Below are 16,829 nucleotides of genomic sequence, written 5' to 3'. Positions count from 1 at the left end.
CTCTCTACCATAAACAAGCATGCTAACAAGACAGAGATGAATCATTAAACTACCTCCACCCCAGGAAATATCACTCCAAAACAGTTCAATAGGGAGGAGTTATTTTAAGCATAAAGAACATGGTTGGTAGTGGAATAAACCTACAAAGACCAGACACATGCTCCAGTGTGGATGAACCTCAGAAGTGTTATACTGAGTGGAAGAAGTCACACGCAAACAGTAGGCTAGGGGTTGCTGGGGGAGGTGGGGGAATAGGGAGTGATCACTTAATGGAAATGGGGTTTCCTTTTGGGGTGATGAATCGTCTTGGAACTGGAGAGAGATGATGGTTGTACAGCGTTGTGAACGTTAATAAATGCACTGAATTGTATGTTTTAACTTAGCTAATGGTTAATTGTGTTATGTGAATTTTAACTCAAGGAGCAAGGAAATCTATTTGGCCATATGAATTTGTAAAGCTTTCATTTGCAGGCTCTTCAGTCACTAATACGGGCGTGTTTCCAACTGATTTGTGGCTTTCCTCTTTCTCTCTCTCTTGTTTTTGGTATGTCTTCTCCAGTAGACAGTACTAACCTCCATGAGAGAGCATAATAGTATCTGGTACATAGAGAAGACATTCAATATTTGTGAATGAAAAAATAAAAAAAAATCGGTAATTTTTTTTTTTTTTTTTGGCTAACCTACACATCTCCAGACAAAAAGAGAGGCAACTGGCGATAACTATGACAACTTCCAATGTTGGGCTGGGTGTGGTGGCTCACGCCTGTAATCTCAGCACTTTGGGAGGCTGAGGTGAGAGGATTACTTTGAGGCCAGAAGTTTGAGACCAGCCTGGGCAATATAGCAAGACCTTGTCTCTACAAAAAAACAGGTTAGCCAGGTGTAGTGGCACATATCTGTAATCCTAGCTACTCATGAGGCTGAGGCAGGAGGATCAACTGAGCCCGGTAGTTCGAAGTTTACAGTAAGTTATGATCCTGCCACTGCACTCCAGCCTGGGTGACAGAGTGAGACCCTGTGTCTAAAAAAAAAGAAAAGTAAAAAAAGAAGGAAAAACTTCCAGTGCTGAAGAATGTGATTCTTCAGGCTAAAATCAAGAGCCCACAAATCTGGCAATTTCTCTTAGGGAGAAATTTACCAGGTCTTGGAAACCTCGCTAAATTCTTTTGAACATTTATTTTTGCCTAGACATCACTGAAATTTAGACCTCAGTTCATAATCCTTTTCTTGCTGACAGCATCACTAATGGTCAGCTGCAAAGGTGACCTCACTGGTAGAAGAACAGAGGAAATGACTTGGCATGAATTTAATCTGAAGACTCTTGCAGAATTGCAGCAGTTTCTTGACAGGAGCCTGGAAAAGTCCTGGCAGCTGTGATAGTATCTGCTACCCCAAGCCTTGGTAAGTCAGTACTTACTGCCACTAAAATTAAAAAAAAAAAAAAAAATTAAATTGGCTGGGTGTCAAAGAGGCTACACTGCTTTACCATTCCACAACTTACACTTCTCATTCAAGCCAAAGAATAGTAGGCTTCTCAGATGCATACTTCAAAGCCAAATTCGGTGACTTTTTAGTTTTATTTGCACAACTTGTTCATATTTTCATTTTTCACTAATTTTCACCCTCAAAAAAGTGAAAGAAAAAGAAGTGACAATTTTTTGCAAAGATGATTTTTATTTTCTAAGAGAAGGAAACCAATTTCCAGTGCAACCAAATTAACTGTGCATCCTGTGATGAAACTTCTTTGACTATAATCTTCCCCCCAATTCCCCATTTCTCTGCTATTTTTAGCTCTGTGTTAATTAGGGGAGAGAGAACTATGGAATTAAGAGACAAAAGAGACCCTAGAGCTTTTGAGGAACAAGGAGCACAGCCTTTGCTTCCAGCCTCCCGTGAGAACAAGTGCACTTGTACTGCCATACTGGGATTCCGTGACATCTTCCGAACTCCATCCTAGAACTCAAGCTGCCAGCCACTGTAGCGACCTGAACACACCATGAAGTTTCGTGGCTCCATGGCTGTGTTCATGGTATCATGTCCTTCTACAGTATCCTCCCCATTTTCCTTGGCTTGGCTGACTCATAATCATTACCTTAAGTCACAGTTGAGGTGTCATCAACTCCAGAAGCCTTCCCTGAGCTACCAGGTTGGGTGACATCTACTTACTGGCTCCCAAGGCACCCTGGCTGTCTGTTTAACACTCACCATATTATGCTGAAATTACCAGCTTAACTGTCTATTTCCTTTACCAGATAAATGGAAAAAGGAAAGTAGTAACTTCAGAGTGGAGAAAGGGACAAACACCACCTGAACCAAATGATCAAAGTGATGCCATTAACAGTGGGACAAAGAGAAACGTGAACATGCGCCTCCCGAGAGGGGACAACGAGGACAACGCAGCAGCACCACCGTTACGTTCCTGCCAAAAATGAGTAACAACCTGACTGTGAGGAAACACCAAATGAATCCAAATTGAGAGCCATTTGACAAAATAAATGGCCTGTCTTCAAAAATGTCAAGATCACGGAAGCCAAAGAACAACGGAGGAACGATTCGAGATTCAGGAGACCAACAGGACAGGAAAAGTCAATGCAAGGTGTGACTCTGAGCGGATCCTGGGCCAGAAAATAACACTTCTTTTTCTTTTGCTTTAAAGACAGTATTTTTTGTAGTGAGTAAACTGGCAACAATTTGAAAACATTTTAAAGAGTAGGAAAACTGGCAAAATTTGAAAGGTTTGTAGATAAGACAATGGTGCTGTTTCAATGTCAGTTTCCTAATTGTGGTAACAGTACTGCATTGCAGTTCCATAAGGGAATGTTGTCCTGTGTCGATGAAATACACACTTAAGAACTGTTAGCAATTTGCTGAAATGGTTCAGAAGATACCAATTATTTACATATATAGATGGTGGAGGTGGGAAGAGAGAGAGAGAGAGAGAAAGAGAGGAATACACAATAAATCAACCCTGATAAAATGTTAACATTTGCGGACTCTGGGTGAAATTATCTGGACATTCTTTGTATTATTGTTTTGCAACTTTTCCCAAGTCTAAGTTATTTCAAAATAAGTTTTAAAAAATTAAAAAGTATCAAAATCAAAATAAGTTTTCCTTTTAGATGGGGAAAAAAATAAGTGTAGGATTAAAAGCGTGTAGGCTATGTTCAGGGTAGTGAGAAAAATCTGCAGTAATTACTTTGAAATTGAAGTCAGTGGTTACACAGAGTGATAATTGGAAGTTGGCACAATTCCAGGGTGCTGACACTATCTCCCAAATTAACCCAACAAACTGGACAGCAGAGCAGGAAAAGGTATTTTCTTTATTGAGTAGTCATAAATGAGAAGCAAGAACATTCAAAATAATACTGAGCTTCTTTACAAATAAGGATTTTTCTCACAAGCTTTATAAACTTAAAAAAAATTTTCTGCACTAAAGGCAATCATCCTACAAATAACTACAAGTTAACAAAAATAGAAGGGACACCTAGTAGTCCCCTGACATTCACCATCAGCAGCAGTAGCGTCTCTCCAGTGCTGGCCATTTCAGAGAGGTGGCATTTTCCATGATGACCAGAAATTAACTAGACTAGCTATAGGGGCTACGAGACATTACAAAGTGTGCAATTACTCAGGAACATGCACATGTAGAGGTAAATTGTGGAACCAGGTATGTGGTGGTAATGTGGACAAGTTTCCCAACAGCAGCCGAAAGCCTGGATTAATCTTTGTTTTGGAGTTGTCCTGTGTTGGGTGGGACGGTTAGCGGGGTCTCGGGCTTCCACACACTAGATGCCATAGCACTCCCTCCCAGCTGTGACAACCAAGTATGTCTCCAGACATTGCCGAATATGCCCGGGGGCAATACTGCCCCGGTTGAGAATCGCACCTCTAAGGTCCCTCCTACCAGCAAATTTCTCTGAGTCTGTGTTGAGAAAATGAAATGCTATGGAATTTCAGAGGGAGAACTAAGGCAGTGAGAGGAGGATTTTGGGAGCAGGGAGGATTTGAGATAAGTCTTGGGATAAAATAAATCAAATAGGGGTATAGGAAATGGTGAGCTTTCCAGAAGTAGGGATGTCACAATTTAAGGAGTGTACACAGGAAAGAACAGACCGCCACAGGACTGTTAGGAAGCCAGCGGGCCGGGCAGAGTCTTCACTAGTAGATAAGGCAAGAAGCACTTGTCATGTTATAATGTGTTGAAGGAATTACAAAATTTTTTTTTTTTTTTGAGTTTTGCTCTTGTTGCCCAGGCTAGAGTGCAATAGCGCGATCTCGGCTCACCGCAAACTCCGCCTCCCGGGTTAAACCCATTCTCCTGCCTCAGCCTCCCGAGTAGCTGGGATTACAGGCGTGCACCACCACGCCTGGCTAATTTTGTATTTTCAGTAGAGGCAGGGTTTCTCCATGTTGGTCAGGCTGGTCTCAAACTCCCGACCTCAGGTGATCCACCTGCCTCGGCCTCCCAAAGTGCTGGGATTACAGGCGTGAGCCACCGTACCCGGCCGGAATTTCAAATCTAAAGTCAAGACTGCTTAGGCTGGCATCCTGACCTAGCCATGGCATCCGAAGGTGAATGCTAAGTGCAGTCCCACAAGGGACAATGTTCTTGTTAGATAACAACCCACATCATCTACTACTCCATTAAACAAACAATGGCTTAAGAGATGAGAACTTGGTAAAAGTTTGCCCTTTATTTATTTATTTATTTATTTATTTTTTGAGACAGAGTCTCCTCTGTCACCAGGCTGGAGTACAGTGGCATGATCTCAGCTCACTGTAATCTCCACCTCCTGGTTTCAAGCCCTTCTCCCGCCTCAGCCTCCTGAGTAGCTGGGATTACAGGCGTGCACCACCACACCCAGCTGATTTTTGTATTTTTAGTAGAGATGGGGTTTCACCATGTTGGCCAGGATGGTCACCAGCTCCTGACCTCGTAATCTGCCCACCTCGGCCTCCCAAAGTGCTGAGATTACAGGCGTGAGCCACCGCGCCCAGCCAAATGTTTGCTTCTCATATGCCACTGCTCTCTATGTCTGAATGATAGATTGAATTTTAAGGTGTACTTTAAAGAGAAGCTGAAAGCAAGCAAGTTGGGAGGGAGGGAGGTGGAGAATAGTGTTCACCGGGCACGGACTGAAACACATCACGTTTTGTGAAAGATGGAGAGTGCTGACTTCCTGCTATATTCATGCAACACTCACAGGCCAGGAAGGCTGGAATTTGCAAGCATGTAGATGACCAAGACTTCAGCCTTTTCTTTTGACTAATTCTATATTTCCCCAATTTGGACCACAAGAGGGATTTCTCAAGACTCTGTGGGGGTTTGCAAGAACTGGGGTTGTGGCACATGCTTGAGGCAGTCTTATCAAGTTTCAAGTCAGCCCTAAGAACCGAGCTGCATCCACGTGGGTTGGCTCTCTTCTTGGTGTGGAGCTCGGACGTACTCTGAAAGCCCCAGGAGAAGCTCACTGTAGTAAGAGGCTCTGTTGCTGTACAAGAGACTATTCTAGTGGCCTCCCCTGATCAGGCATCAGCTTGGTGGGGCAGCGCACACCTCCACATCCACCCAACAGGCCTTTGAAGGTCTGAGAATGCTGAGTCCCACCTGTGTCAGAATGAAATGGGAGAGTTCCCTGACTCCTCTCAGGACTTGTGACAGGGGTGAAGCTCGTTTGCTTGGCCGACACGTGCTCAAACCCCTTATGGGAGGGAGAGCACGCAGATGGGCAGGGGCAGGTGTAGGAGCTGGGGTGAGCACTTTTGGGCTCTGGCCCCATGGTAGTGTCTGGGGGTCTGTTACAATTAATGCTCTTTTAGAAGCTGCCATCTGCGGATGGCTACGTGTTAAAACAGCTCAGCGGAGAATAAGGGTGACAGCCCTGTAAGCCCTGCCCTCTTGGTACCCAAGTCTTTGTCCAGCATTCAGGAAGAATCAGGTCACCCAGACTTGAAGGATGGTGAATGTGAGGATTTTACTGAGTGATGGAGATGGCTCTCGGTGAGAGATGCGGAGCTGGAAAGGGGACAGAGTGGGAAGATGATCTTTCCCCTGGAGTTTGGTCATCCCATAGCTGATCTCTGCTACCTTCCCCAGCCGAACTCCTCTCAATGTTCAGAAGCACCTTTTCTTTTCTCCTTCTCTGCTGCACTGCTCTGCCACTCTTCTGCTTGTGGAGCCTGGGGTTTGGGGTTTATATGGATACAGGAGAGGGGGGCGTGGTGAGCCAAAAGGCAACATTTGGGCACAAAAACGGGAATGCCTGTTCCCATTTAGGGCTCCGGATTTCCAGGCTTGAGGGTGGGGCCTTTGCTGGGGAACCACCCTCTTCTACCCAGTATTTCCCTGCCTCCTGTCCATATCAAGATGGTGCTAGGGGTGACTCTGGGGCCAATTCATTCAGTCAACTGCATGAGGCTGCAAACACCCTTCTGCAGTTCCCACTGTCTCTTACTGCTTAGAGAGAAGACAGTCCACCGGGCTCGGCGGCTCACGCCTGTAATCCTAGCACTTTGGGAGGCTGAGGCAGGTGGATCACAAGGTCAGGAGATCGAAACCATCCTGGCTAACACAGTGAAACCCTGTCTCTACTAAAAATACAAAAAATTAGCCAGGCATGGTGGCGGGCACCTGTAGTCCCAGCTACTCGGGAGGCAGGGGCAGGAGAATGGCGTGAACCTGGGAGGTGGAGCTTGCAGTGAGCCGAGATCATGCCACTGCACTCCAGCCTGGACGACAAAGCGAGACTCCGTCCCAAAAAAAAAAAGAGAGAGAGATGACAATCCATCTAAGCAATCTAAGCAGCCCCTGTGGGGCAGGGACTGCGGCTTCTTCTAAAAGTCATATTGAACCATCTCCTCTCCAAGTAGATGAACCTTTTCTAAGTAATTCTTTCCCTACATTCCAAAAAACTTCTGAAATGGGACCTCTGATTGAACTCTGCCCAGGTGCTTTATGGATTACAATTCGGCATCATTAGAGTCATCCAGTGCTTCCACTTGATCTTTCAGGGAGGCCCAGAAGCCACTTGATTCTCATTTAACTCATATTCACTAAAATATTTTTATTTTAAAAAATAGAGAAAAAAAGGGACCAAAATATTTACATTTATTGGAGATTTAAAATAAAAGTGTTACAAATCCAAAAGAGCTTGTACAAACCGAGAGCTTTCAATCCCAGGCCTCCTGCTGAGCCAGCCACCAGGCCGCAGCACCTTCTGCCAAGCTTCTCACAGTCAATCCAGAAGCTTTCTCCAGGGCTACAAAAAAGTTATTAAGAGTGCACCGCTTTGGCCATTATTTCACAACCGAGTTAACCTCTATCCCAAGGGCAACATTTTGCAGCTGTTTGCAGTGAGTCAGTACTTTCTTTCCATTCTTTTCCTTTTTATCTATTTTCTTCTTTTTTGGTAAATTACCCTTTCCATTTTTGCCTATGACTAGGGGCATACAAACAAAGTTTGGGTCTGCTTCTTGCTGTTCTGAATAGCTGTCTGCTTTTTAAAAGGCAGAAATGAAAACAGCAGTCACGTGATGTTCTTTCAAATTAAAGTTACACAATGACACAAAGCTGAGTTGCGCACACACACAAAATACGCAGCAATGCTACTTCCTGCCATTGAAAACACCACTTTTCAGATGGCATTTAATGGTTCTGTTTATTATATAATTCTATCTCATAACATACATTTCCTTCCTTTAGAATGAACAATACTTACTTTTGAAAAATCCTCGTACAGTCTACACCAAGCACACAAACCAATCACATGAGTGACTATTTCTTACAATGTTTGAAATTGCATAAACCAGGAGGTCTTAAAGCAGGGTTCCCTGACCAGCAGCAGCAGCAGCATTCAGGAACTTTTTACAAATGCAAATTGTCAAGCCCCATCCCAGACCTAGGGCGTCAGGAATTCAAGGGTGGAGCCCACAAGTCTGTGGTCAAACAAGCTCAGCAGGTGATTTTGAAGCTCACTGAAGTTGGAGGGGGTAAGAGGGTTCTGGGCCCTGAGCACCTGGCCTCGGTCATTTGAAACCACCCTGAGTGCCCTCAGTGCCTCACTTCTTCACCGTGTAAAACAGAGAATGACAGTAACACCCCAAAGGACTGTCTTGAAGAGTCCATTAGGTAATCCAACACTGTCCAAACATTGACAGCGCTTGCCTGTGGCTGGCCAGGGAGCAGGGATTGGCTGCAAACAGGCAGAAAGGAACTTTTGGGGTGATGGAAATGTGCTAAAACTGGAACGTGGTGATGGCTGCACAACTCAGTTTACGAGAACTCATTGAACTGCAGCTCAAGAGGTGAATGTTATCTGTAAAGTATACCTCAACAAAACTGTTCAGAAAATACTAAAAATGTTTAGAAAAGTGCCTTGCTCATAGTCATCAGATGTTGGCTCTGATCATCTAAGCCGTGTGAACAGATTTATCTAACTGTGCATGTTCTTCTAAACAGGAACTCAGCTCCCTCCAAAGTGTGAGGGTCTTGTTCCGCCTTGATGCAGGAATGGGATTTATGCTGTGACCTGTTACTGATCCAAAAAGTAAATCAGACCTATGGTGACCATTTTCATGAGGAAAATTTTACAGAGGGAAAAATGATATTCTTTGGAGTACAGTAATATACCAAAGGCGAACTGAAATGGAAGCTACCTAGTGATACTACTCCAGAGATCACATGCGTTTAAAACGTATTGGATGTGTATATTTGCTCTAATTTATAATAGCTGGCTTCATTATTGCCGTCTCTATTTCAATAAGCAATGATTCACCATAAACTGTGCTGACCAGGATATAGGCAACAGAAGCAATGCAAGACAGAATGCAGAAATAGACAGAGGTGGCCATGGACAGAGCCTTAGGAAACAGCCCCATTTCAGTGCCAGAACCACACACCATGGGGTATTTAATAACACTTACTGATTTTGTTGACAACTGACAATGCTGAACTTTCCCTGAGCCCCGTGCTCCTAGAACACAGAAACAGTTACAGAATCTTCCTCCTCTTTCTTAACCCAGGAAATGGCTGGAGGCAAAGCAACCTTCCCCATAGACTTCCACTCTTCTTCATGAACCCCGTAATTCTTGGACCCCTCCCTTGTTCACCTGCATTTATAAAACCCTAGTTCTTCCTCTCTCTGAGACATTTCTCATTAATAAACGTTACCCCTACTGCAGTGGCCTGGGTAAAATTATCTTAATTGTCTGGTACATTTTGTTTTTGACACAATAAATATAAATTTGGCCGGCCATTCCGTCACTTTCAGTTAACAATGTTATTTGCAACACTTGACATTTTACAATATTTTAGTATACATATGTGCACACACATACACACACCTATATTAGCTGTTCAATTGCATGTATTCATGCTGGAGTGTAAAAAGAAAATTAGTCAATTTGCAAATGCAACTACCTATGACTAATCATCTAGGTCAGAGGTGGGCAAACTTTCTTCTACAATGGGCTAGATGGTCAATCTTTTCTTACCTGTTTTGCATGTTACACTGTCAGTTCCGCTTCAGTCACGTGAAAGCAGCCACTGACAGTACATACAGGAATGAGCATGGCTGTGTTCCGATAAAACTTTTTTTTTTTTGAGACGGAGTCTCGCTCTGTCGCCCAGGCTGGAGTGCAGTGGTGCAATCTCGGCTCACTGCAAGCTCCGCCTCCCGGGTTCACGCCATTCTCCTGCCTCAGCCTCCCGAGTAGCTGGGACTACAGGTGCTCGCCACCACGCCTGGCTAATTTTTTTTTGTATTTTTAGTAGAGACGGGGTTTCACCATGTTAGCCAGGATGGTCTCGATCTCCTGACCTGGTGATCCGCCTGCCTCGGCCTCCCAAAGTGCTGGGATTACAGGCGTGAGCCACCGCACCCAGCCAAAACTTTATTTTCAAAAACAGTTGGTGGGGTGTAGTTTGCAGATCTGATCTAGAGTAGTGTTGCCTGATGGAATTCTAAGGAACATTACTTTCAGGGCATGTTAATAGCTAATGTGAAAAAAAATAAAAGTGGGGGTAAGGGAGTGGCCCATGGTAAAACAGATTAGGGGAAAACTGGGAAAAGTTTACTATAGCACTTTCCACTAACTTTATTTGTGAGGGAGGGTCTCGCTCTGCTGCCCAGATTGCAGTGCAGTGATGCGATCCTAGCTCACTGCAGGCTCAAACTCCTGGGCTCAAGTGATCCTCCTGCCTTAGCCTCCTGAGTAGCTGGATTATAGGTATGCACCACCACACCAGCTAATTAAAAAAAAAAAACAAAAAAAAAACAAAACAAAAAAACAAAACTTGTAGATACAGGATACCACTATGTTGTTGCCCAGGCTGGTCTCAAACTCCTGAGCTCATGCGACCCTCCAGCCTCAGCCTCCAAGGTATTGGGATTACAGGTGTGAGCCACTATGCCCAGCCTCCACTAACTTTAAAATGCTAATGTGCAATATTTTTGCAATTTTTTTCAAAATCTCAACTCAAAGATTACTGTGTTTCTTAAAAGCTTTTAAAAAATATATAGGGTCGGCCGGCTCACACCTGTAAATCCTAGCACTTTGGGAAGCCGAGGCGGGTGGATCACCTGAGGTCGGGACTTCAAGACCAGCCCAACCAACATGGAGAAACCCTGTCTCTACTAAAAATGCAAAATTAGCCGTGCATGGTGGCGCATGCCTGTAATCCCAGCTACTCGGGAGGCTGAGACATGAGAATCACTTGAACCTGGGGGGCAGAGGTTGCGGTGAGCCGAGATTGTGCCATTGCACTCCTGCCTGGGCAACCAGAGCGAACCTCCGTCTCAAAAATAAATAAATAAATAAATAAAAAGCACAGAGGCAGAATGCTTGTGGCTTCATTAAAAAATATATATATATACATATATGGCTGGGCACAGTGGCCATACCTGTAATCCCAGCACTTTGGGAGACAGAGGCAGGAGGATCACTTGAGCCTAGGAGTTCAACACCAGCCCAGGCAACATAGTGGCACCTTGTTTCTACATTTTTTTTTTATTTTAATTAGCAGGCTGTGGTGGTGTGCTTCGGTAGTCCCAGCTGCTTAGTGAACTGAGATAGGAGGATCGCTTGAGCCCAGGAGTTTTGAGGCTGTAGTGAGCTATGATCCTGCCACTGCACTCCAGCCTGGGTGACAGAGGGAGACCCTGTCTCAAAAAATAAATTAATTAAAAGGTCCCATCGCAGCATTTCCTATGGTATCCCACAAAATGAGCTCTGGGAAAGGCTACTTAGTACATGCCCAAAGAAAACAAGGACTCAGTGGTCAAATTCCATTTGAGAAATGCTGCATTCTATATTCCATCTTGGAGATTCAAAACAGACATCCACTTAGTAAAGATTTTGAGACATCCTGAAATAAAAAATATTAATTTAACCCAGCATTTCCCAAACTTATTTTAAACATCACACCACACACACAATCAACTAACTGAAATTCTTAGAATTCTATGTAAATTCAGAGTCAATAATCTTAAAGTCTTAAAGTCAGAAACTTGGTTAACACGTCATTCAGTGATTTGAAGTTTTTCCCAGTTTTTCTGGGTTAAAAAAAATTCATGGTGTGATACTTCCAGATGTTAGAAACCTGGAGTGTTGCTATTAAAGAAATGTGGGTTCCCCCCTTCAAGCACCTTAGTAATAACACTGCTTCAGTTCAGAACCTCTGCCCTTAATTTGTTCTATTATACAGGTAACAATGATTGAGTTATCAGTAATACTGCTGAGGCCTCTATGTCTTACTTTCATTGTTTTTCTTCCTCAATAATCAATATTTTTCATTTCAGCTACTTTTAATTAGCACAACTCCTTTACCTTGGTGTATTTTTCAAATATATTGCTGAATCTATAAGGGATATGCTCATTATAAAATATCAGATGCTAACATAAGAGCATGAAGACAATTCCGCTCAAGTTCGGCAACTATTACTAGTCCTGGATTAAGCCTTTCATGTTTGTGGGGGCTTTTTGTTTTTGAAACAGAGTCTCTCTGCTCTGTCACCCAAGCTGGAGTGCAGTGGTACGATCACAGCTCACTGCAGCCTTGACTTCCTGGGCTCAAGCGATCCTGCCACCACGGCCTCTTGAGTAGCTGGGGTCATGGGCATGTATCATCACACCTGGCTTATTGTACTTTTTGAATTTTTTGCAGAGATGAGGTCTCACTAGGTTGCCCAGTCTAGTCGCAAACTCCTGGGCTCAAGTGATCATCCTGCCTTGGCCTCCCAAAGTGCTGGGATTATAGGCATAAGCCACTGCACCCAGCCTCAACTTTGTGTTTGTAAAACAAAGCAATATCCTACACGGGCCATTTTAACTTTATTTTTTCATGTTACAATATAGTTCATATTGCATCTTTCCATGTTTGTAAACATTTACCTGATCACTATTTTAATGGCTGCATATGAATATTCTGCCATATGGAACAACAAAACTTCTTTAACTAAACTCCTATTGATGGACAGTCAGGTAGTTTCTAATTATTTTGTGAATACAAAGGACACGGTGGTGAATGTTACTGACATAAATCTTCGGAAACTTATCCAGTTAGTTCCCATGGTGGACTTGGGTCTCAGTACTTCTCCCGCAGAAGTCATCCCAGGTGGCAGTATTTACAGTGTTATGTAAGCCCTGCCTCCCATCTCTGGGATTGGTTGATAGACTAAAGAAGAACATCAACCCTCAGATTACCCAGTGATCCATTGAACACCTAGGTGAGTAAAGATGAGATGGGCCAGCCAGAGTCCTTCCTTCAGGAATGACAGAGAATGAGGCAGTTTTCAGGCAGACGGTGGTTTAGAGAATGGCTCATGACACTACGATGGGCTCCGACCTGCCATATGCAGAAACTGTGGGTGGTAGTGGGAATGAAAGCCCCAGTGGGCAGAGGCCAACTCCTGTGTTAGGGGGAGCTCAGGTAGACTAACGGGACTGCACTAGGATGAGTAAGACCTGGGAGCTGCTGTCAATGATGCTAAGGCATCACAGCTTTTGTTCTTAGAGAGCCCTGCTTTAAGCCTCATTCCTAGTACCAGCTTATGTGACCCTGGGAAAATTATTTAACGTCTGTATTTCTCATGAGAAGATTAAATGAAGAGAGAATCTATGGTGCCTCACACATACTGAGTGCTCCATATACATCAGCTCTCCCAGTTACAGTATTATCATTATGACCCAAGCCACTGTGGATCCCAAGAACTGTCAGATAAGATGTTCCCTAGGGTTTGCATGGCTGGCCATTCCTTAAGGTCTCTGTATACATATACCCTTGTAGTACGTTTAGGAAACTTGGATGAATCTCTTGCCAGAAAAATTAACAAAAACAATTCTGTAAGTTCTAGAGTTGGGGTTGCCAGTTCAAAGAGCAGAACTCTTTCAGAGAAACTCCTCTTACAATTGACCTAAGCAATAACTCAACTCTAGAAATGCTCACCACACATGTGCTGACTGGTTTGTAAGTAGCTGTTATAATATGGTTGTGCTATCTGCGTTCAATTTCAACATGGATCCAGAAACCTTGCCTAGAAACTTGCAGAGCACCTTGCCCCATCAGCAGGGCTGCCACAGCTAAGTGGTTCTAGGCAAACACTCAAAGAGGCAAAATATGGGAGAGAAAGAGATGGCTTAGCTAGCCAGTGCTTTAAAGAACAAAGTAGCTGATAGAGAAACACAGGCCCAATCCATGCACCCTTTCCACTGTCATTAAAGCAATGGGGTGGGAACAGCTTTTCTCTTCTACACCCATTCACTCCCTTCCTCCTCTTCAGCCCTGTCCCCCTCTGTTTAGACTGCTAAATATTAAAGCAATCCTTCCCCTCTGATTTTAAACTCATTTCATATGAGAGAGAGAGAGAGGGCAGGAAGGGAGGGAGAGTCAGTGAGAGGAATGTGGAAACGGAAGACAAAACCAGTGTGAAATTTAAGTCGTCTCAGGCCTATATTTCTAAGAACAGCCCTAGGTCCTATCAGTGCATCAAACAGGGAGCAATAAAAACCAAACCAGTCACCACCAGAACTTGCAAAAGAGTTCACAGCAGTGGCTCCTACCGAGGTGCTCACCAGAAGCACTGGGCAGCTAATTCAAAATGGGTGTGAAGCAGCTGCCCAGGTGACTGGCTCCACCCAGACCCTAAATGCTGTTGAGTTAAGATTTATAGTGGAAAAAACAATGGTTTCTTTCAGAGCTCCATTAGTTTCTTCTGAGTTCTAGCTGTCTATTTGATATGTGTTAATATCTGGAAGAAACTGGTATCAATAGTGGACTCTCAAATTCTACATATGCCAAATATATCTACAGGGGGGAAAAAAGAAAAATTCAAACATCTCTAATGCTCTTTCTGTAACTTCAGTCCAGCTTTTATCTCAGAGATCCTGAACGTGTTGTTTAGAAGTCTAGAATGGGAGTGCAGAGGCGACCAGAACACATCAAAAACTTGAGGTGCAGTCTGATGAGTTTCTCTACTCCCTGCTTAGTAAATTTAGAGTTTTCTATTTTTGGAGGACGTAATCCCTATGCACACTGCTTTTAGCATCTAAGCATTTTCCTCAAGATGGGTCAAAGTGTCAAGGGTTTCACGAGAGCCTCTGTCAATTCCTGCAGAACACGGTGGATCTGCTAAAGACTTAAAATAGGGACACAGTCCTTACAGTTTCAGCTTAAGGATCATAAACACAAACGACCACCTGAGACCACAGAGGACCGGATATGAGCTACTTATAGTCATACTGAGCCGGAGAACAAGAATAGCAGGAAAGCGGCCAGTTTTCTTGTAGTGAGGTTCTTTGAAGTAAAGTATTTATTAAACATTATATTATAGTGCATGAAACAAAAATCTTTGAAGGCAGGTTATCCTACTCTGCACAGTGGCCACTGCTAACGAATTACTTCCTTTTCCTCTCAGGTTTTGTTTTTCTATTTGTGAAACTGAAACCCAGATTGTTTTCCTCCATCCATGAAACCAGCTGGCACAAAGCACTCCTTCTGGTAATAATGTCCCATCAATGGAAACAGCATTAAAAACGATTCCAACCCATCACTTCACCATCACACACAAGAGGATGTGCAGATTAGGGAGGTGCTCTCTAAATATTGGTCAGCAACTTCTCTAAAATAGAAAACCAGGCTGTTAAAAATGATAAAATGACTAGAAATGGCAACAATTAAAATGGGGCTTCCATTTTTATTTAAAAGCAAAATTTACCGATTGCATTTCTCACTTCCTAACTCTAGACTGATACGCCTTATTTCAGCTAGCACTTTCTATTTCTCAATAAAGTACCCCAGATATACCAGTAAGAGCCTCATCTTAAAGAAATGTCCAAAAGAAGACCAAGAGGGCGGTATAGTTTATTCTTCTGAACCAATTATTAACTTAAGAGTCTTTGCCTGGGGAAGGAGTACTGAGCAGCAGAACTCCCAATGAGCCAGCACAAACGGTCACATGCTGAAGATGCAATGGAAGAATCCTGGCCCATTGGCCAAAAGGTGTCTCCGGCTAAGTGTGTGCTGAGAGGAGAAAAGGACAGCGCCGGACACATGGCTGGGTCTGTTTCAACGTGGCTGAGAACAGTGGGAAGCTTTTTAAAATCTGGGAATACATCAAAGGGCTAATGCAGATTAAGCCCAGCTCCTTTTTTTTTTTTCCCTGAAAGGCTCACTTTTGTTCCTAATAGAAAGACTTAGATGGTATTTCTTCAGATCATAAAGCAAGTTGTACTTTTAATGATGGAATAAAAATTATAAAAGTAAAACGTGGCTTTTCCTCCCCATTCTTTTTTTCCTTTTTTAAGTGATGAATTCAGGAAAAGACCAGTCTAGGCCAAATTTATCTCTTGTTAACCTTCAGGGATATGGAGTACGCCAAGTATGTTAGTACAAAGTCAAATTTGGATGATGTAGTCATTTTTTGCTAATTCCATTATTAGAAACATTAGATAATATGGTAGTATCTAAGGAATACAGCTTTAAAAATAGTATGCACCTTCACTATCAAGACTGTAAGGCAAAATCAACTTGTGCCCACGACTGAACTTTTGAAATAGAAAATTTTGTTATATCCATGTTAGCCAGGCTGGTCTTGAACTCCTGACCTCAAATGATCCGCCCGCCCCGACCTCCCAAAGTGCTGGGATTACAGGCGTGAGCCACTGCACCCGTGGCATGCACCTGTAATCCCAGCAACTCGGGAGGCTGAGGCAGGAGAATCGCTTGAACCCAGGAGGTGGAGGTTTCAGTGAGCTGAGACTGCACCATTGCATTTCAGCTTGGGGAACGAGCGAACGCTCTCTCAAAACAAACAAACAAAAAACCAAAACAAAAAACCTTGTTATGTCAATAAGAGTATTTCTAAGTGGGTTAGCAGCTCCCTGACAGGCTACCTCTCCAGCCTTCCCAGGCCCACCCATCCTTGGTTCCCTCTCTAGCCTCACAAGACAGCGCTCTTCTCATCACACTCAGGCATTTCACTGGAGCCCCTGATCTCGCTTTGCCCTCCTCTCTTGGAGCCTGCCTCATCAACTGTCCTCTCTTCCCTCTCTATTGGCCCCTTCTCTTCATCCTGAAAGTCAACCTGAGTCATTCCAATCAACAAATTCTCTCTCGACTCTGCATCCCTCCTGGCTACTGCCTTCTGACCTGACCCATGTTCTCCACACAGTCCTCTGCTCTAGCTGCTGCAACCACACTTGCACTCACGACCAAACCAGCCCTACGTGGCTATCGCCACCACTGTTCTTCCTAACTGACAAGCTGTCTCAGGTACCCACAGGTTAGATATTTCAGGGGAAATGACTGTTACAGAAATGTTCATGTTAGAATG

At 43.6% G+C, this 16,829-nt stretch overlaps 1 protein-coding gene across 32 annotated transcripts in view, besides 2 other annotated features; it reads right to left on the bottom strand.

The window, feature by feature from the left end:
• Positions 1 to 16,829, bottom strand: part of PCCA (propionyl-CoA carboxylase subunit alpha) — a 441,343-nt gene that overhangs the window by 31,527 nt on the left and 392,987 nt on the right. For 6 of the 32 annotated variants that reach the window (XM_017020607.2, XM_017020605.2, XM_017020606.2 and 3 more), the window contains one exon: positions 7,640 to 8,972. The exons of 21 other annotated variants lie outside the window; for them this stretch is intronic. In XM_017020607.2, coding sequence (XP_016876096.1) covers positions 8,716 to 8,972 — 257 coding nt within the window. In that variant the 3' untranslated portion in view covers positions 7,640 to 8,715. Of the gene's footprint in view, positions 1 to 7,090; positions 7,260 to 7,639; positions 8,973 to 16,829 lie in introns of those variants that run through there. 5 more of the 32 variants (XM_017020611.2, XM_011521093.2, XM_047430372.1 and 2 more) reach the window with 2 other exon arrangements.
• Positions 5,392 to 5,892: an enhancer, noted in NCBI's record as "H3K27ac hESC enhancer chr13:101145271-101145771 (GRCh37/hg19 assembly coordinates)". NCBI's record gives its function as "activates a minimal SCP1, AML or CMV promoter by ChIP-STARR-seq in primed H9 embryonic stem cells {active_cell/tissue: H9 hESC(primed)}" and the evidence as "EXISTENCE:reporter gene assay evidence [ECO:0000049][PMID:30033119]".
• Positions 5,893 to 6,393: an enhancer, noted in NCBI's record as "H3K27ac hESC enhancer chr13:101144770-101145270 (GRCh37/hg19 assembly coordinates)". NCBI's record gives its function as "activates a minimal SCP1, AML or CMV promoter by ChIP-STARR-seq in primed H9 embryonic stem cells {active_cell/tissue: H9 hESC(primed)}" and the evidence as "EXISTENCE:reporter gene assay evidence [ECO:0000049][PMID:30033119]".

Source organism: Homo sapiens, chromosome 13 (genome assembly GCF_000001405.40).
Source record: "Homo sapiens chromosome 13, GRCh38.p14 Primary Assembly".
Taxonomy (NCBI): Eukaryota; Metazoa; Chordata; class Mammalia; order Primates; family Hominidae; genus Homo; species Homo sapiens.
The sequence above is the reverse complement of the archived record's forward strand: the minus strand, read 5'-3'. Positions and strand labels throughout refer to the sequence as shown.